This window comes from Homo sapiens, chromosome X (assembly GCF_000001405.40).
Source record: "Homo sapiens chromosome X, GRCh38.p14 Primary Assembly".
Taxonomy (NCBI): Eukaryota; Metazoa; Chordata; class Mammalia; order Primates; family Hominidae; genus Homo; species Homo sapiens.
Window position 1 is genome coordinate 46,446,876 of NC_000023.11, and position 27,764 is coordinate 46,474,639.

A 27,764-nucleotide genomic window follows, 5' to 3' on the forward strand; every position below is an offset into this window, starting at 1 on the left:
AAAGCGGGAACAATGGCTTTCAGGACGGAGGGACACAAACACCCAATGCCGCAGCGACTGGGAGGGTCGCGATGCAGGAGGACGAAATGGGAGAAGGGGGACAAGGGGGACTTCGGCCTCCCTGCGGGCGGGAGCTAGGCCGCTGGAAAGTCCGCTCGCCTCTCGCCGGCAAGGGATGACGCCCTGGGCCTTTTGTACCACTCGCCACGGAAAATGGTCACACGCTTTTGTCCTCAAGCCGAACACTATCAGAAACACGGGGTCCCTGGAAGCCGCCATCTTGGCCATTGGCGGTGGCGCACCCACCCCCGTGCTACTGCGCGTGCGCGGCGCTGCGACACACTCCGACCCCATCCCGCGTTCCCAGGGGGCGGTGGGAAGCGGAAGTGCTCCGCTGACCCGGGAGGGCGGTCCCTAGTTCACACTGGCTGTTGTCAGCGGCCTCTGAGGTTTCAGGCTCTTGGCGGTGAAGTAAGAGGGACGCGGAGGTGGTGATGGTTTTGATGGGGGCGGGGGTTGACGGGGTCGTGGGGTCATGGGGCCATGGGTGAACGCCTTTGTGGGTGACAGGGTGGCTCTACAGCCCAGCTCAAAAGCCCATCCTCCAGGCCACTTCCCCGCCTGAGACAGGCCCCTTGCTCTCAGGACCCTCTGAGCCAGGACCAGGGTCCGGTTCCCTGAGACCCGCAGGCCTGTGGGCGTGAGTGCTGGGGACGAGGTTCAGGGCCAGCGAGTGACTGATTGAGTCACTCCGCGCCTGTTTCCTGAGCGCCTAAAAATGCCAGGCAACCTTGCAAATGTTTCACATTAATCTTCACAGGAGCCCTGTGAGGTGTTACGATGATTATTTTCGTGTTATAGAGAGAAAATGGCTCAGTGTGGCTTGACAACCTGTCCAAAGTCACGTAGGTAGCAAACCCGAGGAATCTTTTTTTTCTTTTCCTGTGCTTCGTTTATCATGTTTATTGTTTCCTGTGTGTCTCCCCCGCTGGACTAGAAACTCTGCGGGAGCTGGGACTTTGAGATTTTGTTCCCTGATGTATTTCCAGCACGGAGAACGGGCTCATGGAAGGAAGGCACCCATTTCTTCAGTGAATAAAAGTGGCACAGCAGTCAGTCAGTTGATTCCAAAGCCCGGACTCAGGAAGGCAGGGTTTCGCTCACTGAGGATAATTGAGCTGTGAATCAATGTTAACTCTTAAAGCTAGAATGAGGCATTGTCCCTCTTCTGCTGGGTAAAACCTTTGGGTTTTACTCAACTTCACTGCATGGAAGGGAGCATAGGTGTTGCTAATTGAATCTCCTGTGGTCATTGTGTTTCCAGGGTCAGAGTGCAGACCTGAGACCACTGCTCACCGACTTCAGACTCCAGTTTATCTGTGCCCCAGCTTCCTCACTTAGTCTCAGAAGACTTAGGCTGAGGCCTCAGAAGGAGGTGAGTTCCCTGGGTCACAGGCAGAGATCTGGTGCTATAGTGATGGCCTCAACTGGGGCGTGTTTGTCTCTGAATCCCTTGGTCCTGCGGCCTTGGACACAAGAGAGGTACGCTGAGCTGAGGCGAGTTGGAGGAGAAGCCTCAGCCCAGAGCCCAGACCCAGATCCTCAGGGCAGAGAAAGGAGGCTCACAGGATAGCAGGTCCTAGAAGAGCTGGACCCATAGTGGCCTTTGTCCCTCACTTCAGCTGAGACAAAGCAAAGCTGGCTCAACTTCCAGATGCCATCGAGGACCGTGTGACAGTGCAGTTTGATTCCTGCTGGAGGAGGGACAGGTGAAAGTCACAGGTGGATGGAGGCATGGATGTCCCCCCATGGGGCAGGTGCCCTGCTGTAGTGCCTGTAAAGGCGCTATGAGGCTGGGAAGGATCACAGCCAGCCACAGAGGATTGGCCTCTCCTAGCACACCTATTTGTGCACCCCTGTGTTCCCGTCTCTTGCCATTGGCTATTTCTGAATTTGAGTCAGCCCCACACCATCAATCAGGCACCTGCTTCCAGGGGAAATGCTGAGTGTCCCTTCATCCTGACCAAAGTGCAGAAAATATATTTTTAGTTTATAGAATTTCCAAGTAGTCTCTAGGTACGCTGTCATCCATCTCTGCTGCCTTATTTCAATGCTTAATGAAAGTGGGCCAGGGGACATGACCTGCTAAGCCACACCAAGCTGAACCCTGTTGTCCTGATACTGTCACAATGATTGTTGCAGTATGCAATGGTTACTCTGCACAGAAGCTCCTTGCTGGAACTTTATTTGAAAAACTACCAAAGAAGGAGGAGCCTGGTAATCAAAATGCAAATTGTGAGAAAGGAGAAAATGATGGGGTGGGAACAGGGTAGGTGGCCAGTTAAAGAGGCAGATGCAGGGGAGCAGGCACGGTGGTTTTCAGCCCCTCACAGAACTGACAGTGCTGGGCTGTTACCCACCCAGCCCCACACCTCTCCTCCACTGTGGCCCTCTGAGCCCCTGTTGGGCTCCTTCCTCCAAACCACATCAAGAGATCCTACTTATACACACTTGCAGAGGGTCTTTTCACCTCTAGGGCTCGGTTTGATAAGTGGTGATTTTTAATAATTTTTAATTTTTGTTTTACTAGTGATATTCTTTGTCAAAAATTGAGAAAATGCAAATAAAAGAAGAAAATTGAAATCACCACTCAAAAGTAACCAATATCAGCATTTTAATAAATCCTCTGAGACATCATATATGTGCATATTGATTATCAAAAATGAGATCACACTGCGCTTGCTTTCTTGGAACCTGCTTTTAAACACATTAGGAACTAAAAACAAATTCCATAGCATTTTGAAAGGCTGTTCAGTATACCTGCTTTTGCATGTGTCATATTTTTTAACTGTGTCCTCTTTGCTGGATATTTAGTTGCTTCCAATTTTTTTGTTTATTTGTTTTTTGTTTAGACAGGGATTCCCTCTGTCGCCCAGGCTGGAGTGCAGTGGTGCCATCTTGGCTCACTGCAACCTCCACTTCCTGGGCTCAAGTGATCCTCCCACCCAGCCTTCAGAGTAGCAGGGACTACAGGTATGTGCTACCATGCCTGGCTAATTTTTGTAGAGATGGGGTTTCGCCATGTTGCCCAGGCTGGTCTCGAACTCCTGGGCTCCAGTGATCTGCCCACATCAGCCTCCCAAAGTGCTGGGATTATAAGCATGAGCCACTGCACCCGGCCGCTTCCACATATTAATATTTTAATGGTAGAAATGACTACAGTTAACATTCTTTCAGCTTTTCCACATTTAGGAATGTTTCATTATGACAAATGTCTAGGAATAGAACTCTTAAGATAAAGGAGATGTTAATTGTTACTGGTTTCTAAAATAGATATCTTTAGACGTAAGTCATACATCTGTCCAGTAAGGGAAACAAAATTTCATGTGGAAAACCTACATGATCTTAGTAGAGTTTCATGGAAACAGGCTGGAGCTACCAGGTCATGTTTTTAGATCACTCTCCCTAGGGTACAAGGGTAATTATTATTGGGATGGTAATGATGGTCTAATGGCTGTACCTACCGAATGTACTCTCCTAATTTTGCCTTTATAGATCTCCATCCTTTGTCCAGAGCAGAACAGGATGGCCATGTCCCAGGTGAGTTTCTAATTTACCCATACTTTGTTTCCAGTGAAATTGAGGCAAGGTTTGGAATCTATATAGCAGACTTGAAAATACCAATTATCCCCTCTTCTCTGGCTGTTTTCTATTCAACTTGTTCTCAACCTCTGGTTTCTCTGATCCTCCCCGTCACCAGGAGAGAGGAAAAACAAAGAATCCTCTCTCTACTTCTTGTTCTTTCTTTTTCTTTTTCTTTTTTCTTTCTCTTTTTTTTTTTTTTTTTGAGACAGTCTCACTCTATCACCCAGGCTGGAGTGCAGTGGTGCAATCTCAGATCACTGCAACCTCCACCTTCCGGGTTCAAGCGATTCTCCTGCCTCAGCCTTCTGAGTAGCTGGGATTACAGGTGCCTGCCACCACGCCTGGCTAATTTTTGTATTTTTAGTAGAGACGGGGCTTCACCATGTTGGCCAGGCTGGTTTTGAACTCCTGACCTCAAGTGATCCCCCCACCTCGGCCTCCAAAGTGCTGGGATTACAGGCGCGAGCCACCATGCTCTCTACTTGTTCTTCTGAGAACTGTACCTCATCTTCTCTTCATTTCCTTCTCACAGAAGATTGTTTACATACATAGATTCATCTTGCTCTTTCCTCTTTCTTCACTTCTAGATCACTTGGTCTTTTTCATCATTCATATTTATGATAATAAGTTTGTGCATAATGTTTTGATGTGCGTAGAAAAAGCTAGTAGCCCAAAAGATTCTATTCCTTCTCCCCCAAGTACCATGTTCCTCGTCAGAGATGCCCACTGTTAACAGTTGGGTTAAATGGTGGGGTAGATGCATTTATGTCAATTTAATGAACCAAAAACATATACACATGTATTGTTTTCATGCTTTTACACAAATGGCATCATACTCCCATACCCATCTTGCCTTTTGCACCTGATTACTTTCTGGGTGGTGTTCCTTGTCGATATATAAAGATTGTTTTAATTTCTATCTCATAGTATGGATGTCTTAATATCATGTAACTATTTATTTATGGATATTTAAGTTTTTAATTTTTTTTTACTGTTGTAAACAGTGCCTCATAAACAACTTTCTCTGTATCTACTTGCTCTGTAGTACCAGTGTTTATGGAGGTTATACCTGGAAGTCGGGTTTTGACTAAAAGGTACTGAAACTTAAGTTTTGCCCTCCGAAATCCTTCATAATTACTCCTTTCACTAAATGTAAAGACCAGATAATTTCTGTGTTCCAATTTTCCAGGCTATTAAAGATGAAAAGGCACCCAGTTCATTTTGTGAAGCCACTTAACCTGAAATTTGAGGAAGATACTACAAAAAAGAAAATTATAGACCAGTTTCCCTTAAGAATATAAATGTCAAAATATTAAAAATACTCTGAATAGAACATTAACAAATTGCATTGGGCATTTCAAAAGCAAATGGATACACATTGTAAAAAAATTCAAACAAAAGCTTTGTTCAGCAAAAAAAAGTTTTTTGTGGTTTTTGTTTTTTGATGCAGGGTCTGGCTCTATCCCCCAGGCTGAAGTGCCGTGGCACAATTTCAGCTCACTGCAACCTCCGCCTCCCAGACTCAACAATCCTCCCACCTCAGCCTCCCAAGTAGCTGGGACTACAGGCACATGCCACCATGCCCAGCCAATTTTTGTATTTTTTGTAGAGATGGAGTTTTGCTATGTTGCCCAGGCTGGTCTTGAACTCATGAATCTCTTTCTCTGCCTATGCACAATCACTCGTTTTCTCCTGCATGTGCTCTCTCTCTCTCTTTCTCTTTCTCTCTTTAACAAGTTACAGTACATCCTGGTCTTTCTGGTCCTTTTTTTTTTTTTAACGAACTTTTCACTTGTATTAACTCTACACCAGGGTTTCTTAGTGTGGCACTATTGACATTTTGGTTGAGGTCATTATTTGTCATGGGTTGCTTTCCTGTGCATTGTATATGTAACAGCATCCCTGGACTCTCTCTACTAGATGCCAATAGTGCTCCCTCCTCCAGTTTTGGCAACCAAAATATCTCTTGTCATTGTCAAATATTCCCTGAGGAATAAAATTATCCAGTGTTTAAAACCAGTGGCCTACCCCGCTTACAAAAATGGCTGCTTTCATTTGATGGCAATACCACTATTTATTTACCTTTCTCCTAATAATAGATATTTAGGATATTCCTAGTCTTTTGCTACCATAAACAACATAGCAGTGTATAGTAGATTCCCATTGTGTACATGTGAGAACATTTATAGGATAACTTTCTAAATATGAAGTTTCTAGGTCAAAGTTTATACATCTTGAATTTTGATTCAGAACTGTCAATTGCCTTCCAAATAGGATGTACTGATTTGCATGGCTGGCAACATTATAATGCCTTTTCCTGTAAATGGGAAATCACAGTGTATTATCCGCTGTGATTTTTGCCATTGTGAGGGAGAAAAGAGTCGTGCATTTTAATTTGTTTTTCTTGATTTGAGTGTCTTTTTTCATTTTTAACCACCATTTGTACTTTTTTCTTTCAAATATTTATTCTAGTCATTTGCCCCCTTTTCTCTTGGGTGTGGAATTACTTTGATTGCTGGATGTTAGCTCCTTGGGTTAACTTAAGCAAATGAGATCTCTGTCATACATGTTGTCAATATTTTTCATAGTTTATTATTTGCTTTGATTTGTCTTATACATCTTGGGGAGTGGACACTTAATGTGTTTTTAATATCTAATTTTACAATATTTTGTGGCTTCTAGAGTTCTTGTATTGCTTAAATAGGATTCTGTGAGTTGAGATTATAAAAATGGCATTTCAGTTATGTGGAAAAAGTGGTTACTGAATGACGGTGGCACCGTTGAGTCTCCGTCTGGATGGAAAGAAAGTGAAACTCTTCTACATCATATAAAAGTGAATTCCAGATTGATCAAATACCTAAATATATATTTGAAAAATTAGGTGACAATTTAAGAGGATATTGGTATAACTTTGCTTAGTGCAAGAAACTTTTTTTTTTAAATGGTACAATGTTTTTCTTTTAATGATCATTGGGACATCTTAAAATTAACTACTAAGTAACCACATAAATAAGGAAACATAAGAAATGCCATAACCCAAGTACTTTTGAAACTACTTCTTAGTTCCAAGCCCCAGCATGTATCAATTGTATGAATTAATTTTTTTTATTCAGAACCTGGATCTTTGTTTTAAGACTAGTATAAACAAAAATAAAATGTAAACAACTTGTTATTAACATAATAGCTGCAGTTATTAACTGCAAGAATACAGTAAAAAAGTCATACTAAATGTTAATGTTCTTGTAACAGAATTATCCATATCACCTTATGGTAGCAAATTCTGGCAAGAAATGATCATTCATTTCTTATTAAAAATACTTATTTCCAAGATCAGTTATACCACAAATAAAACCACAGTTTATTCAATAGAGCCCTTACCTTTCTCTTTTTTTCCTGAAAGATCTGCCATTTACAGGGAACTACTAATTTCAGATCAGTTACTCAAACCAGGGTTATTCCTGTAAATGTACATCTTAACTTTATATATAGTAGGTGTACACTCATATTCCCTCTCTAGTCTTGAAGCTAAACACTTTCACAAAAGAAACAACCTAAAATCACTTCATGTGAATCTTGGTTCTTACTTTTCTTCTACCTCATTTGTTCTTCCTCCTCATCACAAAAATTATCTTCCTGCATGGTGGTAAAGGAGAGAGATCTAGCAGCCACTTCTACAGCAAAGCCATCAGTGAAGGTAAAATTCAGTGACAGCTGTAGCTGTGCCAGCCTCTGCTGAATGGAAGTCTGTAAGGACTCCCTGGGAGATGGAGGGGTAGTGGCCAGAACGCCTCCATCTGCTTGAGATTCATCTTCGCCCTCACATTGGTAACACATTCTGTCTTCTCTCCTTGGAGGAAGACTTCATTTGCAGAATTGTCTTTATTTTTACCCTCTAGATCAAGCTTGTCCAACCCATGGCCCCGGGCCACATGCAGCCGAGGACAGCTTTGAATGCAGCCCAACACAATTCGTAAACTTTCTTTAAACATTATGAGATTTTTGGCTGGGCGCGGTGGCTCATGCCTGTAATCCCAGCACTTTGGGAGGCCGAGGCAGGCGGATCACAAGGTCAGGAGTTTGAGACCAGCCTGACCAACATGGTGAAACCCCGTCTCTACTAAAAATACAAAAATTAGCTGGGCGTGGTGGTGCGTGCCTGTAATCCCAGCTACTCGGGAGGCTGAGGCAGAATTGCTTGAACCCAGGAGGCAGAGGTTGCAGTGAGCTGAGATCGCGCCACTGCACTCCAGCCTGGGTGACAGAGCGAGATTCTGTCTCAAAAAAACAAAAACAAACAACAATAAAAAACATTATGACATTTTATTGTAGTTTTTTTTTATTTTTATTTTTTTTAGCTTATCAGCTGTCATTAGTGTTAGTGTATTTTATGTGTGGCCCAAGACAGTTCTTCTTCCAGTATGGCCCAGGGAAGCCAAAAGATTGGACACCCCTGCTCTAGAGAGTCTTCACATAAATACTCAGTCTTACTTACTTCATTGTCACTTGTGGAGTGTTTACTATTTTCCTCTTCAGTATCATTTTTACTGAATTTTCCTGTATCTGAATTCATTGATGGTTCTGAATTACTTGTGGGTTCCACTAGGTTTACAGGAGACAAGGATTTCAACACAGCATGATCACTAAGTAGAAGTTATAACCACTTCTGCCTTTCTGCCTCTGAAGCTTTAAATCCCAGCACAGATTTTAATTCTTAGAGCACCCTCTTGGATTCTTCATGCTCGTGCTTCTGTCTTTCTTTGTCTTCCTGAGACAAGTAATAAAAATCATCCTTTCTGCAATCACTGTCAATATCTATATCATCTACATAAGCTTCTAAGTCCTATTCATCCTCCTCAGGGAGTGGATCTTTGTCGGCAATGTGTAGAGTAGGCTGCATCAAAGTTACCACTGTACAGTATGGGTTTTCACACACTACCTCAGGCTTGCCTTTTTTAAATCTGTATTTCTTCATAGCAGTTTGTCCACCTGAGAAATGGCCTCTTCCCAGCAATTGTTGCTAGTTTAAACATGGGGCTGAATCAACTTTAATTTCTGTTCTAGGATTTGATAAGCCTCTGACACTGTTCTTGTTTCTTTAATACAAAAAAGCTTTTCAAATTTATCTTCGAGAATTATTACCTTATTCAGTAATGCTTTCACATGGAGCTGCAAGTTGTACACTGCTGTGTGAACGTTATTCAGTTCTTTTGACTTCTGTTGAGTTTTGGATAAACACTGGTACTGACTGGTGCTGAGTTTCAAAGTACTGATAGAATTCAGAGTTGCTCTTAAGCTCTTCCAAACAGGCATAGTAAGCATGAGGTAGACCTTGAGTCAAATCAGATAACATATGATGAGGCAAAAGTGCTGAAGTAAGTAAGGGCCCAGGAGGTGAATTGGCTGTAGGAAGTAATAAGACTAACCATCTGTAGAATTCTGAACGCTGCCATCCAGAGTTGGAACAAAACCTTCAATGTAGGCAGGCTAAAGTCATCTGTAAAGTTAGGTGCTTCCTCTTCTGAAATCTACTCTTCACTAAGTCCAAGGCCCAGCTCCTTAAAAGGCACGACACAGATATAGCTGGTTGCATTGTCACTTTCAGAGTTCAGGGGGTAGTTTTTCAGCATCTATAGGATAGATAGCCTTGCTGCTTGGAAGTTCTGTAGACAGCTTTCCAGAGACTGATGAGGTACTGAGTGGGATGCCATCCAGCTTTATTAAATGGGATAAATAATCATTTATCATTTAATAATAATTTAATAATGTATTATTAAATTATTATATATTTTATAAATATAAAGTATAATTTATTAATTATTATAAATTTAATAATTTATTATTAATCATTTAATAAATTATCTCATTTATTAAATGGGATAAAGCACTGACCCTGTCAAGCAAAAGTATAAATCCTCTGGAAATCACTTCAGTTTCTTGAATGAGATGTAAAGCTTTTCTTACAAGGTTAGTAAAAGCTCAGCTATTTGCTGCCATATCTTCCAAGTGAACATTGTATTTTTTTCAGGTCACTTGTAGTTTAGCTGTCCTCCATACTCTCAAAGCTCTTATGACCAAATAAACAAATAGAATCACTCCCCATACCAGCCAGGAAGATAACATCCACCAAGCAGGAAGCATAACGAGCAAACTAATGAAGGCAAATAGCATTGAGACATCCCAAATATTAGGGGTTGCCAGGGAGCAAAGTGTTGGAAGGTGTCCACTTTCCTGTTGTTGAGGTTGTCCTGCTTACAGGATACTGGAATCAAGTAGCTCAGTGAGCTCCACATCCTCTTGAAACAGGACTTCCTGTTGCAGGATGGTATGTAATGAGTTGAGTCGGAATCCAATATCCAACTTGTGAAGTAAGTCATCTTTCTTACTGCGCTGAGAAAAAACCCAACTTCTGGTGGTTTTAGCCACTTTTAACAGAATGCGTTGCTTAATAACCCATTCCCTGAGCATGCCAGTAAGTGGAGTTTATGTTCACCGAGTGATTACTGTATCCCAGGTATTTTGGTAGGACTCTTGTAGGAGGCTTTTGTTGTCCCTCCGTGGCGCATTTTTCTGTTTTTGGTGACAAAGAACATATTTCAAAGTCTGTGTGTCCCGGATCCTGTAAGTACTGATAAAGCGGAGAATTCCAAAAGCTACCTCCTTGTCAAACTCCAATGTCATCCTTCTCTGCCATGCCACCCACTTCAGCACGATGGGAAATCAGAAGAAACATTTTTAATGAAGATGGGAAACCTAGAAACCATAACGAGAAAGATTGTCAGATTAAACTGTATTAAAATGTTAAAACCCGTAGAATCAAAAGACATATTTGAGGCTGAGAGAAAATACATGCAATGCATATGATATGCAAAGGATTCATATATAGAAAATGAAAAAGGATGAAAGAAGATGAAAAATGTGGTGGACATATAGTCAAAAAGATAAGGCAAGCAATTTATGAGAAAAAAGTGTGATGCCATTTGAAAAGATGTTTACTTTCCCCAGTTTTCAAGCCATGAAAACAGGGCTGATTTTCATTCCTCCCTTTCTGTTGCATTCCAACAAATGAACCCAGTCTCAGCCCTTCTACTGTTTGCCTTTCAGAGTTTTTTTTTTTTTTTTTTTTTTATATATACAAAACCACAACATTTTGCATGGGTTGTTTTTAATGAAAATATGCTCCTCCTATGCTTTTCTGTTTTGGGGTTTTTGTTTTTTGTTTGTTTGTTTGTTTGTTTGTTTTTTGAGATGGAGTTTCGCTGTGTCACCCAGGCTGGAGTGCAGTGGCACAGTCGGCTCACCGCAACCTCCACTTCTCGGGTTCAAGCGATTCTCCCGCTCAGCCTCCCAAGTAGCTGGGATTACAGGTGCCTGCCACCACGCCCAGCTAATTTTTGTATTTTTAGTAGAGATGAGGTTTCACCATGTTGGCCAGTCTGGTGTCAAACTCCTGACCTCAAGTGGTCCACCCGCCTTGGCCTCTCAAAGTGCTGGGATTACAGGCATGAGCCACCGCACCTGGCCCCGACGTTAGAAATTTCTAAGCACAATGAAAATCTTAAAAATTATCAAACATCCATATCAAAGTGAGAAAAATATTTGAAGTATACATAACAATGGGCTGCCTTCTTTTATACACTAAAATTCTAACAAATCATTGAAGATCACACCTAATATATAGCTGAAAGAATATGAAATGTATGTAGAATAGTATACCATGTATCATACTTCATATTCTTAAACATTAAAAAGGTTGATAATAGTACAGTCAAGTATGTAGAAAAAACACCAAAGAAGTTATAAACTGTATACAGCATTTTGTGGTGGAACAGTTGGTTTACATATATCAACATTTACAATGCAAATACCCTTAACACAGTAATGCCCTTTCTAGAATTTTACCCTAGACCTTTAATATATCAATAAGACAAGACAACCCAACAGAATGAAGACTCATAGTAACAGAAATATTAGTGGCCTAGAAACATACAAAAAGATTATAATCCTCACTAAAACTCACATACCTGCTGTCATTTATCTGTAAGAGTGGTAAACTTTGAAAAGATAGATAAGAGCCACTGTGGATGAGAGTACTGGCTGGTTGAGAGGTAATTTGGCTGTACTTATTAAATATCTTTTTCTTATTTTAATCAGCAGTTGCATTGATAGGACTCCATCCTAGTGAAATATTTATATGTCCACAAAGATTTCCAAAGCAGTTCTATTCATACTAGCAAAAAGTAGAAGGAGAAAGCCCTAAGTGTCCCATGTTCCTGAGAATCCAATAATGGTAGAATGATAGCTATACTACCAGGTGGCATTGCTTATGATAAAAATGACCCCTGATTGGTAAACAAACTTCACATGGATGAGGAGGACTATAGAATAGTTAAATAAATTGCCACATCCATACTCTGGAACTGTTATGATAAAAATTGACTCATATGTAAGAATGTCTGGGATACTTTTGTCTAAGTGAAAAAAACCAAAGTTCAGAAAAGCATAGTAGGAGCAGCCGGGCATGGTGACTCACACCTGTAATCCCAGCACTTTGGGAGGCCGAGGTGGGTGGATCACCTGAGATCAGGAGTTCAAGACCAGCCTGGCCAACATGGTGAAACCCTGTCTCTACTAAAAATACAAAAAATTAGCCAGGCATGGTGGCGCATGCCTGTAATCCCACCTACTCATGAGGCTGAAGCAGGAGAATTGCTTGAACCTGGGGGGCAGAGGTTGCAGTGAGCCAAGATAGTGCCACGGCACTCCAGCCTGGGCAACAGAGCGAGACTGTCTCAAAAAAAAAAAAAGAAAAAAAAAAAAGAAATTTCTGATGTCTAGGTAGTCAAGTTTATCACTCTGTAGCTATGTATTTTCTGAATTTGGGGATTGCTTAGAAAGGCCATCAGCCACTACAAAACTATCAAAACTTTTAACTTATCTATCATTTTTATGGTTATTTTGTACACATTTAAATCTCTAATCCATCTGTAATTTACTTGGGGGCTCAGAGTAAGATGAGTAATTTACTTTTATGGAGTTTCTTCCCTCCATAAATGCCTAGCCAGATTTTCCTAATGACATCTTTTCTGCAGAGATTTAAGATACTTTTATTATGAAGTAACCTCTGACACTGTACTTCTAGGATCTGTTAGTGGTTATTAACTCTCATTATCATTGTCATGTTTAGCTATGTGTTACTGGAAGCCTGATAATGGAATGACGGCTGTTTTACTAGGTCTGAGAGATAGGGAAGGAAACCCAAGTTTTTCCTACTGTCTCCTCTCACTTGACACAACACTTCTGACACCATATGTAATCCCAGGCCCCAGGCTGTTCCCTCACATACCAAGCAGTTTTCCCTGGACACCAGCTCGGTGTGCTGTGAAGTCAATTCCATTCTGACACCATCTACCTGGAGTTAGCGTGAGCTCCCACAGGTTGAGGGCTTAGTCCCACAAGACTGCCCTGACTTGAGATGCCAGTCACAAGTAGGGTGTCACCTATACATCTGACTGATGGGCCACAAATTGGGGGTTCCCATGAACCCCTCCTGAAGATTGATTAATTTGCTAGAGTGAGTTTCAGTTTCCCTGAGTTTCCCCTATTTGTTATAAAGGATATTACAGGCAAAGCGCGGTGGCTCATTAATCCCAGCACTTTGGGAGGCCAAGGCGGGCGGATCACCTGAGGTTGGAAGTTTGAGACCAGCCTGACCAACATGGAGAAACCCCGTCTCTACTAAAAATACAGTTAGCCGGGTGTGGTGGTGCATGCCTATAATCCTAGCTACTCAGGAGGCTGAGGCAGAAGAATCACTTGAACCTGGGAGGTAGAGGTTGCAATGAGCCAAGACCACATCATTGCACTCCAGCCTGGGCAACAAGAGCGAAACTCAGTCTCAAAAAAAAAAAAAAGCTGGGGGCAGGGGGGTGGATATTACAGAGGATACAGATGAACCGCCAGATGGAAGAGATGCATAGGGCAAGGGATGTGGGAAGGTCCACGGACCTTTCATGCCCTCTCTGGACTCACTACCATCCGGGAACCACCAAGTGTTCAGCTGTGTGGAAGCTGTCTGAACCCACCCAGCCCTTTGGTTGTTGTCGTTATTGTTGTTTTTGAGAAACAAGGTCTTGCTCTGTCCCCCATGCTGGAGAACAGTGGTGCAGTCTTGGCTCACTGCAGGCCCAACCTCCTGGCCTCAAGTGATCCTCCCTTCTCAGCCACCCTTAGTGCTGGGATCACAGGAGCCAGCCACCACACCCAGCCACAGTGGGGTTTTTATGGAGGCTTCATCACAGAGGCATGATCATCATTGGCCCTTGGTGATCAACTCAACCTTCATCTCCTCTCCCCTCCCAGGAGTTTTGAGGATGGAGATGAAATTCCCAACCTTCTAATCCTGTCTGGTTTTCTGGTGACCAGCTTCCATCCAGAAGCTACCTAGGGGCAGCCAGCTAACAGTCATCTCATTAGCATATAAAAGATACTTTGATCACTTCAGAGGCTATTCCAAGGGTTGCAGGAGCTTCTTGCCAGGAGACAGGACAAAAACCAAATATATATTTCACAATATCAAACCAGGTGACATTACTCCAGATAAAATTGACTCTGGATTGGTAAACAAACTGCATCTGGACTGGAGGACTGAGTAAACTATGACTGGCTGGTAGGAAGCCATGGATTGGGGTTTTCTGAGCACATTGCCACTCAGTGATAAGTAACTGGGCCCATCTTTTGCTGGGATCCTCGAAGCCATGCCACTGGGACCATTACAAGAGATACTGGTCTATGGAACAGGTTAGGGCTTCCAAGCAACATCATCCTAGCACTCAGCAGTGTGGTTTTGTTCCCCAGCACCGGAGCTATCACGAGGGAGGGGCAGATTGGGCTAACAGCTCCTGGATTGCTCTGAGAAGCCCTCCTGCTGGAGAAGCCTGCCTGTCCCCACCCTCTGGCACGCTGGCTTTCCTGCCCCTCTCCTGCACAGCTGGGTAAACTGGTGCCACTGTGGCTGATTTGGGCCTTATGGGTGCAGCGAGTGGCTTGAATTGAAGGCCACCAAGTGTGGGCGTGACAGGATGGGATCTGGAGCAGAAACAGGCGGGTTATTAGTCTTTGCAAGGAATTGGGGCGCTTGTAGAAGTGAGTTCTTGTTTGGTGGTGACAAGGCCAAGCACAGACCTTTCCCCTTTTGCTTCAGTCAGCTGCCCAGGCCACAAACCTCTGGCTTCCTGTTCTTTGTTTCATGATTGATTAGCTATGTTTAGAACTGTTTGTTGTAGCTCTGTGTCCCCTGTGAAGGCTGCTCTGTCAGCCCCAGGCAGGATTGACTTCCTCCTTTGTGGACCACCCGGACCCCTTCCTACATCTGTCACTGTCCCTGTGAGGCAGGCTTCCTCCCTGCCTCTGTTTCATCTATGAGTGTCTTGAGTGTCTTAAGTGTCACTTTTCTCCCTCCACTAAACTGAAGCTCCTTGAGTTCAAGAGGTGTGGTTTTGTATCAATCTTTACTTCACAGGACTTACCAGCCCGGCCTCTGTTCAGTAAACATGTGTTGAATGAATGAATTTCCAGGGTAAAATATTTCTCATACCCTATCTGTTTCTCCTATAAAGTTCAAAATGATTTTAGTCATATAGATACTCTATGTAATATACTATGCCAAACTGACTAGTGACTGGCATAAGAACAATTATATGAGAAAGGCCAGGCCGGGCGCGATGGCTCACGCCTGTAATCCCAGCACTTTGGAAGGCTAAGGCGGGCAGATCACAAGGTCAGGAGTTCGAGACCAGCCTGGCCAATATGGTGAAACTCCGTCTGTACTAACAATACAAAAATTAGCCGGGCGTGGTGGCGGGCTCCTGTAGTCCCAGCTACTCGGGAGGCTGAGGCAGGAGAATCGCTTGAACCCGGGAGGCAGAGGTTGCAATGAGCCAAGATTATGCCACTGCACTCCAGCCTGGGCGACAGAGCAAGACTCGGTCTCAAAAAAAAAAAAAGAAAGAAAGGCCATTGTGGGTGTGGGAACCAGACCGTGTGGATTCGACTCCCCTCATTCCTGGCTGTGTGACCTGGGTTAGTTACTTAGGCTCTGTGCACCTCACGCTCTTCATCTGTCAAGTTTCTCCTAGAGGGCACAGAGTAAGCCCTCCGTGTGCGTGAGATGCCATGTCCCAGTGCCCCAGGCTGGTCCTGGGGTGCTAAAGAGGAATGTGCCATTACAGGAATCATTGACCTTCAAGGACGTGTTTGTGGACTTCACCCTGGAGGAGTGGCAGCAACTGGACTCTGCCCAGAAGAACCTCTACAGGGATGTCATGCTTGAGAACTACAGCCACCTGGTGTCCGTGGGTGAGGGACCGTGCCACAGGGTGATGCAGAATGCCTCCAGTACTGTGTTTCTTTCTCAGCTGCTCCAAGCTCTGGGGCCTAGGAACAATGAGTGTGGGTTACCACCCTCAGTGAGTTTGGGTTACTGCCCACTGTGTAGTATTCGTAGTCTCCTTTGGACACTGGAGAGCATATTGGTGCCCTTGCTTGCTATGTGAATGTTCTGTACTGAGGGGCAGATAGCTGTGTGCATGGGGCCATCACCTTCAGCCTGCAGGGGTGGGCCTAGGTTCTGGAATTCCTCAGCATTAATAACGAAGTCCTATGTCATTTCCCCCGAACAGGGTATCTAGTTGCGAAGCCAGATGTGATCTTCAGGTTGGGACCAGGTGAAGAGTCCTGGATGGCAGATGGGGGGACCCCGGTACGGACCTGTGCAGGTGAGGACAGGCCAGGTGAGTCAGGCCGGGGAAAGGAGACCAGGTTGGTTGGTGAGAGCTTGGCCTCTGGGATGTGCTCAGGAGCCCTTCTCAGAGCCTCGGACTTGTGGACATGCCTAGGCTCTGATGAGCAGAACTGTTGTCATGTCCAAATGAGGCCTCTGCCTGGCCGCCGGTTACAGTCTCTGTGTTCTTTGTTTGGCATTCACATAGATTGTGGCCACTTGTTCTGAGATCCCATTTCTACCTTCCAGCCTCCTGGCTTGTTAGTGAGAAGTGCCAAGCCCCTTCTCATTCCTCTCCCACCACCTTTCTGGAAGCTTTTAAGACTTATTCTCCCACCTTCTTGGCCTTTTGTATTTTCACCATAGTAGATGTATTAATAGATGTCAGCATTTTCTCTTTATTGGGCATACTGTGGGCCCTTTCAGGCTGAAATTTGGCCTTTTTTTTTTAGCCTAAGGTAGATTATCGTACCTGTTTTTTTGTTTGTTTTTTGTTTGTTTGTTTGTTTGTTTTGAGTCACTATGGACACCAAAGCTTTGCCAGTGACCTTTACCCAGCCAGGTACCCACCACGTTCTTGCCTGCTTTCACTTTGTGGTTAACACTGTAAACCTCACACCATTTTCTGTTTTCTCTACTTATTTCTTCTCAGACTCTTACAAATCTGACTTCATACTACTTGTTATCAGATTCCTCCATTTTTCAATACGTCCTTCCTACTCAACTCTTGTTTTTGTTATTATCTCTTTACTTTTTCAAAAAAAAAAAACACACTTGAGAGGACATTACTCCCAGGGTGGAATACTTCAGTGAACCGTATTTTAGTCCTGCATAGAACTGCTTTTTCCTTGTCTATTTTTCCTGTGGGCTACCTACAAGGATCCAGAAACTCTTCAGATACACTGGTCTACTCTTTCTCTCCCCTTCATAGTACCCCCTTCACTGGCCCATGGCAAAGAAGCCTGTTTAGAATGCTATTACTCTTCAGAGGGTGATCCCTGCCTGGGCATTGTTGGGGCACTAAGTAGAAAATCAGAATCAGGCCCCACTCTAGATTTTCTGAAAGAGAATGTGCATTTCAACAAGCTCCCCAGGGACCCCATAGGCACAGTAAAGCTTGAAAAGCACTGCTCGTTAGAGATTAATTTCAGAGCATCAGCTGTAGTCAGGTGCTGGCCCCAAGGACCTACAGGTGACTCCTCAGATGGCTTCCTCCAGAACCCACTCCTCAGCACACACTCTCTGAGATCCTCCCTGTGCTGGCATTTGTGGCTCCCACCACTCTAGCTTCCCCCAGGAATGTTTTGGGTGATGATAACCTCTTTGTTGCTCAGTGTAATTCCCTATTTGCTGCTTAGAGATTCATCAGGATTTCTGATGTGCTGATGGTATGCTTGCTTTTTTCCAGTGATGCCTGGAATTGTAATGACTGTGTGTCTTGTTCTCATTTCAGTGCTATCCCAGAAGGGAGGAAAAGCAAATTCAGGCACAGTCTACCCTCCTGAGTCCCAATTCCCTAAGAAAAACTATATTATATTAAAATACAGACATTTATATATTCAGTCTAAGAGTGCAGAACAGTATAGGCTAAAAGGTAATCTTAGGTGCATTCCCAATCACACCTCCCAAGGGCAGCTTCTTCTAAAGATTTCTCTTTTGGTTCTGGTGAGCACCTCCATAGGTTTAGGGAATGCCTTTATATCTGCATTTTGCGGGTTTTCAGTTTTATCTTCTCTCTATGAAAAGTAAGGATTTCCCTCACACTTTGGCCCTCCACTCCCCAGCTCTTCACAAGTTTGTTATATGCTTATTTTTAGTTCCTTTATTGGTTACATTTGTAACTTTAAATAATATAGCTATGCATTTCATATGGTAACTTTTAAAAAATCTAGCTAAGTGCCAGTGGCTCATTTCTTTAGCTCAAACACAACCCCTAGACATAAGAGCCTACATCTTGTTCTGACTTGTTCCAGTGTGGGACTGGTGGAAGACATTCAATAAATATTGCACTGATTGTTTTGGACCTGGGCAGAGGAAGGAGCTTTGTTATTCATCCACATACAAGTGGCTAAGAGCATGGACTGTGGAGCCACATAGCCTGGGCTGGAATTCTGGCCGCTTCCCTCACTAGCTATCACTGTGTACACATTGGTTGGCCTCTCTACCTGTTGTAGAATGGGGCTAATGATAAAACTGAATTTTCAGAAATTAATGAGTTGATCCATGTAAAGCACCTAAAAGGGTGCCTGGCATAAAGGAAACAACAAATGATATCACTATTTTTATTGTTGTTATTATCCATAAAAACAGTTTTTTTTAATTTAATGTGGTTGTTAACCAGAGATGTATTACATAGTTACCTGTGGATCTGTCAGAATACTCATGAGTAGGCCCCACTCTAGAAATTGTTTCAGAAAGCCTGGGGTAGGCCTGGTTATGTGCATTTTGAGTGACACTCCAGAGGGTTCTGATGCCCATCTTTGGTTAAGATCCACTACTTGAAATATCTGCTGAGAGGAATTGCAAGGAAATAGGAGACGGCAATGAGCATGCGAGCAGGATGGGATGGGAAGACAGGAGCACATTGACTCACTCCTAGACAGCTCTCCAAACTCCCAGGGTTGGAAGCAGAAAACAGCAGAAAGCAACTTGAATTTCTGCCCTATTTCTCCATATTTAAATCTATTTCAGGAACTATATTTTTCCCTCTGTCTCCTGGATGAAACCTCTGGTTGGTCCCATAAGTTCACTGGTCATTCTGAGATAATAAAAATCTTCTAGGAACTGTTACTTTCAAGAGTAGCCTCATTATAGTAATGAAAACTGTCCAGTCTCATGTAGTAGTACAAACTGAAATTTATTTCAAGTTTGTTGATCTTTTCTTAGAAGTTTTAGCTTTGTTAATTTTCTCTACCATTTTTCTGTTTTATTGATTTCTCCTTTTACTTTTATTTGCTTTTTCCTACTTACTTTCAGTTTACTTTGCTGTTCTTTATCTAGCTTCTCCCCCGACATTTTATTATGAAAATTTTTGTATAAAACAAGTAAAAGAATTGTAGGTTGAACACCCATATAATACGTCCACCTAGATTTATAATAACTATAAAAGGCCTACCCCAGGCTTTGCTATATTTATCCCCTGTCCATCTGCCAATTCCTCTGTCCTTCCATCAATTCGATTTATTTTCTTGTGGTGCATTTCAAAGGAAGTTACAGAGATCAGTACCCTTAACACCTAAGTACCTCCACAGGCATATCATTAATTAGAGTTCCATATTTGTTAGTACTTTATCATTAGTGCTCATGAAGTATTTTAATAAAACAAAATGCCCTTATGGCACCATATGATCTTTGGCCATACATGTTAATGTTTGAACATAATTTTCTATATGTGTTTTTATGTGTGGTCATTATATATTTATGTTGATGTGACTGCATTCCTTTTATTTTTTCAAATGAAATTGATTAAGGTATAATGTACATACCATGGAATTTATCTTTCTTAGGTGTATAGTTGTATAGTTTTGACAAATATATAGCTGTGTAACTACTACTACAATCAAAGCATTGGACATTTTCATCCCCTGCAAAAAACTCCGTGTTTCCTTTTATAATTCAGTCTTTCTCCTCATCCCAGGCTTGACCTCTTTTCCTTCTAGTTTGGTTCTTTCTAGAATATCATGTGGCTGGCTTCTTTCACTTACCTTAATGCATTTTAGGTTCATCTATGTTGTGGCATGTATCAGTTTGTTCCTTTTGATAGCTGAGTAGTGTTCCAGTTTATCTGTCGATGGACCAGTTAATGCACATTTGAATTGTCCCTGGGGTTTTTTTGGTTATTATGAGTGAAGCTGGTGAACATTCTTGTACAGGCATTTCTGTGGATCTGTGTTTTCATATCTCTTGGGTAAATATCTGGAGTGAGATTGCTTAGCCATATGGTAAGCATATGTTTAACTTTATAAGACATTGGGCCGGGTGTGGTGCCTCACGCCTGTAATCCCAGCACTTTGGGAGGCCAAGGCGAGCAGATTACTTGAGCTCAGGAATTTGAGACCAGCCTGGCCAGCATATAGTGAAACCCCGTCTCTACTAAAAATACAAAAATTAGCTGGGTGTGGTGGTGCACGCCTGTAATCCCAGCTACTTGGGAAGCTGAGACAGGAAAATTGCTTGAACCCAGGAGGTGGAGATTGCAGTGAGCCAAGATCACGCCACTCTACTCCAGCCTGGGTGACAGAGTAAGACCCTGTCTCTCAAAAATAATAATAATAATAATAAGATATTGCCAAACTGTTTTCTAGTGTGGCTGTACTATTTTGTTTTCCCACCAACAACACACCTTTCTAGTAGGTATATAGGGGGATCTCATTGTGATTTAAATTTGCATTTCTGTATGATCAGTGATGTTGAGCATGTTTTCATGTGCTTATTTGCCATCTGTATATGTTCTGTGGTGAAGTGTCTATTGTAATCTTTTGCCATTGTTTGTTATTAAACTGTGAGAGTTCTTTATATATTGTGGATATAAATCCTGACCAGCTATGTGTTTTACAAGTATTTACTCCTAGGCTGTGGCTTGTTTTGTTCATAACAGTATCTTTTGAAAAACAAATGTTTCTGTTTTTATAAAGTCCAATTTATTAAATTTTTCTTTTATGGTTCATGCTTTTTGTGTCCTCTTTAGCAAATCTCTCACCAACCCCGGGTAACAGAGATTTTTTCTGTATGTTTTCTTCCAGGAGATTCATAATTTTAGTTCTTATATTTATAAGTCTGTGACTGTTAATGACTTAATTTTTGTATCTGATGTGAGGTAAGGGTCAACATATTTTTATATTATTTTTACATATGCATTTCCAATTGTTCCAGTAATATTTTTGAAAAGAATATTCTTTCTTTTTCTCAGATCAACAAGTGATCCGTTTATTATTTGACATCTACTTTAAAATGATGCCAGGTGTGGTGCCTCACACCTATAATCCCAGCACTTTGGGAGGCTGAGGCAGGAGGATCCCTTGAGCCCAGGAGATCAAGACCAGCCAGGGCAACATAGTGAGACCCCGTCTATACTAAAAAATTAGCTGGGCATGGTGGTGCGCACCTGTAGTCCTAGCTACTTGGGAGGCTGAGGCACAAGAATCGCTTGAACCCAGGAGGCAGGGGTTGCAGTGAGCCAAGACCGCACTGCTGTACTCCAGCGCTCCAGTACTCCAGCCTGGGCAACAGAGCAAGACTCTGTCTCAAAAAAAAAATGTTAATAGTAAGAATTTCACTGGGGAACTAGGATATATAAAATAATCTAATGAAAATTGAAAATTAAGAATTTAATATATATAAAAAACACAAAATTTAAAAAGCAACAACAAAAAAAGAATTTAATATATAGACTTAATAGCAGATTAACCAGAGCAGAAGAGAGGTTAAGTAAGAAAGATAAGTTACTATCAAATATTCAGTCTATTCTAGACTGTTCTTTCTTAATTAACTTACTTTGGCATCCTTTTTGAAAAGTATTTGAACATATGTGTCACTCTGTACACCAATACAGGTTGAGTATCCCTAATCCAGAAATCCAAAATCCTAAATGCTCCAAAATCCAAAACTTCTTGAGCACCAACATGGCATCCAAAGGAAATGCTCATTGAAGCTTTTCCAATTTCATGTTTTCAGGTTAGGCTGCTGAACCAGTAAATATATAATGTAAACATTCTGGAAACCAACAAAATCTGAAATCCAAAACACTTCTGGTTCCAAGCATTTTGGATAAATGATACACAACCTGTACCACATGTCTTAATTGCTGTAGCCTTATATTATGTGTTTAAATCAGGTAGTATGAGTCCTCTTACTTTGTTCTTCCTTTTTGTAATGTTTTAACTAGTCTAGGTCCTTGGTATTTTCCTAGAAATTTTAGAATCAGCTTGTCAATTTTTGCAAAAAAGCCTGCAGGGGATTTTGACATTGCATGGAATTTGTGGATAATTGATGTGCAATATTGAGCCTTCTAAATCATGAATATGGTATATCCGTCTATTTCAGTTCTTTTAAATTTTATTTCAGTAATATTTGATAGTTTTGAATGGATAGGTCTTGCACATATTTTGTTTAATTTTCCCCTGTGTTTTATGTTCTTACAAGGTAATATAAATGGGGTGTGTGTATGTACCTAGTTGTTTTGTATTTCATTTTCCTATTGCTCATTGCTAGTTTATAGAAGTGTAATTGATCTTTCCATATTGGCTTTGTATCCTGGAACCTTTCTAATAAGCTCACATATTAGTGCTAGTAGCTCTTTTATAGATGGTTTGGTATTTTCTACATAAACAATCATGTAGTTATGAATAAGGACAGTTTATTTCTTTTCCCAGGCTAGATGCCTTTACTTCTTTTTCTTACCTTATTGTACTTACTGGCTAGGATCTTCAGTATAATGTTGACTAGGGTAGGGAGGGCAACATACTTGCCTTGATCCTGATCTTAGGACAAAAGCATTTACTCTCTTACCATTAGGCATAATTTTACTTGCAGGTTTTTTCATAATGGCCTGATATAGGTTGAGGATATTTCCTTCTAATCCTGATTTTCTGAAAGTTTTTTTTATTATGAATGGATGTTATAAATTATTTTTATGGATCAGTTCCTATGATGGTGTTTTTTTCTCCTTTAGACCATTACTTCCTATGTAATTATTGATATTATTGGATTTGCATGTACCATTTTTTTATTTATTTTCTGTTCATCCCCCCAACCAAACTTCTTTTTGGTTTTTTGTTGTTATTTTACTTCACCATTCTTCTCTTTGGAATATTTGACTATTTTTTAAATTAAACATTCTGTATTGAGATAATCATAGATTCCCATGCCCTTGTAGGAAATAATACAGACAAATCTCGTGTATTCTACCCAGTTTCCACTAATGGTGACATCTTGAAAAACTATACTACAAATCACAACAAGGATATTGACATTGAGAAAGTCAAGATACAGAAAATTTCCATTACTACAAAGGTCCCTCATACTGCTTTGTATAGCTATACCCATTCCTTCCCTCCCCACCCATTCTTAAGCCCTGGCAACTACTAATTTGTTCTCCATTTCTATAATTTTGTCATTTCAAGAATATTACATAAATGAGGTCATACAGTATGATGCTTTATGGGATTAGTTCTTTTCACTCAGCATACTTCTCAGTTGGATTCATCCTGTTGTGAGTACCCAGAGTTTCTTCCTTTTTGTCACTAATATTCCACCAAATGGATGTACCACAGTTTGTTTAGCCATTCACCATTTGAAGAACATTCCTGTTTTCAACTTCATTGATTTCTGCTCTTATTATTTCTTTTCTTCTGCTTGATCTTTATTTCTAATATATGCATTCAGTGCTATAAATATCCCTCTAATTGCTGTGTCCCACAAATTATGATATGTTGCATTTTCATTTAATTCAAAATAGTTTCAAATTCCCCTTAAGACTTATTTAGAAGTAAGTATATCTTTAAATTTCCAAATATTTGGGGTTTTCCAAGTATCTTTTTTATTGATTTTTGTTGTAATACTGTTATTGCACATAATATGATTTTGTATAAATTTGTACAAGTTTGTTTTAAGACCCAGAATATGTTCTATCTTGGTGAATGTTTCATATGCACTTGAAAAGAATGTATATTCTGCTGTTGTTGGATGCAGTGTTCTCTGAATGTCAATTAGGTGAAGTTGGTTGATGGTGCTGTTCAGATTATCTATATCCTTGCTGGTTTTCTGTCTACTTGTTCTATCAATTATTGAGAGAAAGTGTTGAAGTCTCCAACAATAATTGTGGATTTGTCTGTTTCTCTTTCAGATGTATCCATTTTTGCCTCATGTATTTTGAAGTGCTGTTATTAGGTACATACACTTTTAGGATTGTTATTTCTTCTCAAAGAATTGACTGTTTTATCATTTTGTAATGTCCCTCTTTGTGCCAGAAAATCCTTCTTGTTCTGAAGTCATTGTCTGAAATTAATGTAATTTCTCCAGCTTTCTTTTGGTTAGGTTTTCATGGTATATCTCCATCCCTTTACACATCTCTCTACAGAGAGTTTCCTTATACCTCTCTCTACCCACCCCCACCCTGCCAATTTCCCCTAATAGTAACATCTTGCATTAGTATGGTACGTGTGTTACAACTGGTGAATGAATACATTATTATTAACTAAAGTCACATCTTACATTAAGGTTCACTCTTTGTGTTGTTCAGTTCTATGGGTTTTGTCAAATGCATAAAAATCCACCATTACTGTTTCATACAGAATAGTCTTACCGCCCTAAAAATCCCCTGTGCTTTGCTTTTTCATCCCTTTTTCACTCTCTCCTGGCAAGTACTGATCTTTTTACTATCTCTATAGTTTTGCCTTTTCTAGAATGTCATATAGTTGGAATCATATAGTATGTAGCCTTTTCAGACTGGCTTCTTTCAAATAGCAATATGCGTTTAAGTTTCCTCCATGTCCATGGCTTGATAGCCCATTTCTTTTTATTGCTGAATAATATTCCATTGTGGATCACTTTGTTTATCCATTCACCTATTGAAGGACATCTTGGTTGCTTCCAGTTTGGGGCCATTATGAATGAAGCTGCTATAAACATCACGTGCAGGCTTTTCTGTAGACATAAGTTTTCAACTCATTGTGGTTCATTTCCTTTTGAAGTTTGTAATTTTTTTTTTACTGTGAACTCCTTTTCAGTGAGAGTTATTTTCCATGGAAATTCTGTGTACCCTAAGCTATGAAAGCATCACTGCAGAACTATTTGGATTGCCACTGCTGGGGCCCACTGGTTTCACTAATGCAGGAACAATTTATAGGTGAATTTATCAACTTCGGGGGTTTTGTATTATACTTCAAATGTCCATTTGGAATGCACTCCTACATGTGGTACAGGACTGTGGTTCTGACTTCTTGTAAGTAACCCCTGATTCTTCTTAACATTTTCATTAGCCAGTGGGTGACATCTTTCTAGTTCCTATTTTACACACAGAGATGTCCTTTGTGACTCCCAGCTTTAAGCAGGTAGCTCAATTCTAATTCTCTGCACATTTGTGCCCTGTGGCCTAGAATTCACCTCACACTCATGATTAGAGCCTTAGTCCCCCAACTGCAAAGCCACACAGCTTCAATTTCTGTTCACTCCCTCACTTTAAATTTCTTCTTCATTTTTGTCACATAATAAATTTATTTTCTGGTTTGAGCTTGGCTGCATATTAAATTATTTTTGTTAAATTTGAGCCAGCATTTCTCTGTACTTGCACTCAGGGGAGGTGGTGGTGGTGGGACATGGGGAGGGTCCATCCACATCAGCTCAAGTCATGTTGATAGGAGTTCACTGCTTGGGCATTTAGGGATTAATGTTATTCCATAACATTCTAGTGGAAAGACTTAACAAGTTTGATGATTCATTCATTTTCTTCTAGAAGTCTGGCAAGTTGATGAGCAGATAGATCACTACAAGGAAAGCCAAGACAAACTTCCTTGGCAAGCTGCATTCATAGGCAAGGAAACACTGAAGGATGAAAGCGGTCAAGAATCCAGAACATGTAGAAAAAGCATTTATCTGAGCACAGAATTTGATTCTGTAAGGCAAAGACTCCCTAAATATTATTCGTGGGAAAAGGCATTCAAAACATCATTTAAACTTTCTTGGTCAAAATGGAAGCTATGTAAGAAAGAAAGATGATGGATGTAAAGCATATTGGAAAGTATGCTTCCATTATAATCTTCATAAAGCTCAACCTGCAGAGAGATTTTTTGACCCTAATCAACGAGGGAAAGCCCTCCACCAAAAGCAAGCCCTTAGAAAAAGTCAGAGAAGTCAAACTGGGGAGAAACTCTACAAATGTACTGAATGTGGAAAAGTGTTTATCCAGAAAGCAAACTTAGTTGTACATCAAAGAACTCACACCGGAGAGAAACCTTATGAATGCTGCGAATGTGCAAAAGCCTTCAGCCAGAAGTCAACCCTCATAGCACACCAGAGAACTCACACAGGGGAGAAGCCCTATGAATGCAGTGAATGTGGAAAAACCTTTATCCAGAAGTCAACTCTGATTAAACATAAGAAAATTCATATGGAGAGAGACCCTATAAATGCAGTGTCTGTGAGAAAGCCTTCAGTAGGAAGTCAACTCTCATTAAACATCAGATAATTCATATGGGAGAAACCTTATGAATGTAATAAATGTGGGAAATCTTTTAGTGTTAAATCAACTCTCATTGTATGTCACAGAACATAAATGCATAAGTTGCATGCTATTGTGAATAGTGTGATGAAATTTTGCACTGTCCTGCTCTTTCCTGCTCAGGATGCAAATCAGTGAATCTTTTTTTTTTTTTTTTTGAGACAGAGTCTTGCTCTGTCATCCAAACTGGAGTGCAGTGGCACAATCTTGGCTCACTGCAACCTCCGCCTCTTGGGTTCAACCGATTCTCCTGCCTCAACCTCCCAAATAGTTGGGATTACAGGCACATGCCACCATACGCAGCTAATTTGTATTTTTAGTAGAGACAGGGTTTCACCATGTTGGCCAGCCTGGTCTTGAACTCCTGACCTCAAGTGATCCGCCTGCCTCAGCTTCCCAAAGTGCTGGGATTACAGGCATGAGCCACTGCACCCGGCTTGAATCATCCTTTTGTCCAGTATTATATCCATGCTGTATATGCTACCCGCCCACTAGTCCCTTAGCTGTCTCAGTTGTCAGATTGACTGTCATGGGATTGCAGTGCTTGCATTAAAGCTACCCTTATTGTATAATGACCCCAAAGTGCAAGAGTAGTGATGTTGGCAATTTGCATACACCAAAAATAAGTTATAAAGTGCTTCCTTAAAGTGAAATGGTTAAAGTTCTTGACTTAATAAAGAAAAAAAATGTATGCTGAGGTTGTTAAGATTTACAGTAAGAATGAATCTTCTATCCAAGAAATTGTGAAGGAGGAAAAAGAAACTTGTGCTAGTTTTGCTGTCACATCTGAAACTGCAAAAGTTGTGGCCACAGTGCATCATAAGTGCTAAGACGAAAAAGACATTAAATTTGCGGATGGAAGGCGTGAATAGAAATGGGTTCTGACAGCAATCAGGTTCGGTACTATTCACAGTTTCAGGCATCCGCTAGGGATCTTGGAACATATCCCCCATGGATAAGGGAGGGGTACTGTACCTTGTCATATTGTGCATTAAAGAATTCATTGAGTGTAATCATGTAAGTCTAACACACATTTAAAAAGCTCTCAGATATCATTTCGCCTTCGGTTGATGTAAGAAAATTCAAAAGCTACTCAAATCATTCAATAAATGATAAAATTATTTA

The 27,764-nt window shown here is 41.1% G+C and overlaps 1 protein-coding gene and 1 pseudogene across 4 annotated transcripts, besides 1 other annotated feature; one reads left to right on the plus strand and one right to left on the minus strand.

Annotated features, from left to right (window-relative positions):
* Positions 1-658: an enhancer, noted in NCBI's record as "NANOG-H3K27ac-H3K4me1 hESC enhancer chrX:46306311-46306968 (GRCh37/hg19 assembly coordinates)". NCBI's record gives its function as "activates a minimal SCP1, AML or CMV promoter by ChIP-STARR-seq in primed H9 embryonic stem cells {active_cell/tissue: H9 hESC(primed)}" and the evidence as "EXISTENCE:reporter gene assay evidence [ECO:0000049][PMID:30033119]".
* On the plus strand, positions 422-27,764 carry KRABD4 (KRAB domain containing 4). 4 transcript variants are annotated; one of them, NM_001129899.2, is made up of 7 exons: positions 422-471; positions 1,325-1,435; positions 3,556-3,600; positions 15,873-15,999; positions 16,323-16,433; positions 24,267-24,310; positions 25,875-27,764. In NM_001129899.2, the coding sequence occupies exons 3-6, from the start codon at positions 3,586-3,588 to the stop codon at positions 24,308-24,310; spliced, it is 297 nt and encodes a 98-aa protein (NP_001123371.1). In that variant the 5' UTR covers positions 422-471; positions 1,325-1,435; positions 3,556-3,585; the 3' UTR covers positions 25,875-27,764. The 4 variants fall into 4 exon arrangements, with proteins under 4 accessions (NP_001123371.1, NP_001123372.1, NP_001123370.1 ...); NM_001129900.2 differs by having other exon boundaries at positions 16,323-16,418; NM_001129898.2 differs by lacking the exon at positions 24,267-24,310.
* Positions 6,585-10,369, minus strand: VEZTP1 (VEZT pseudogene 1; annotated as a pseudogene).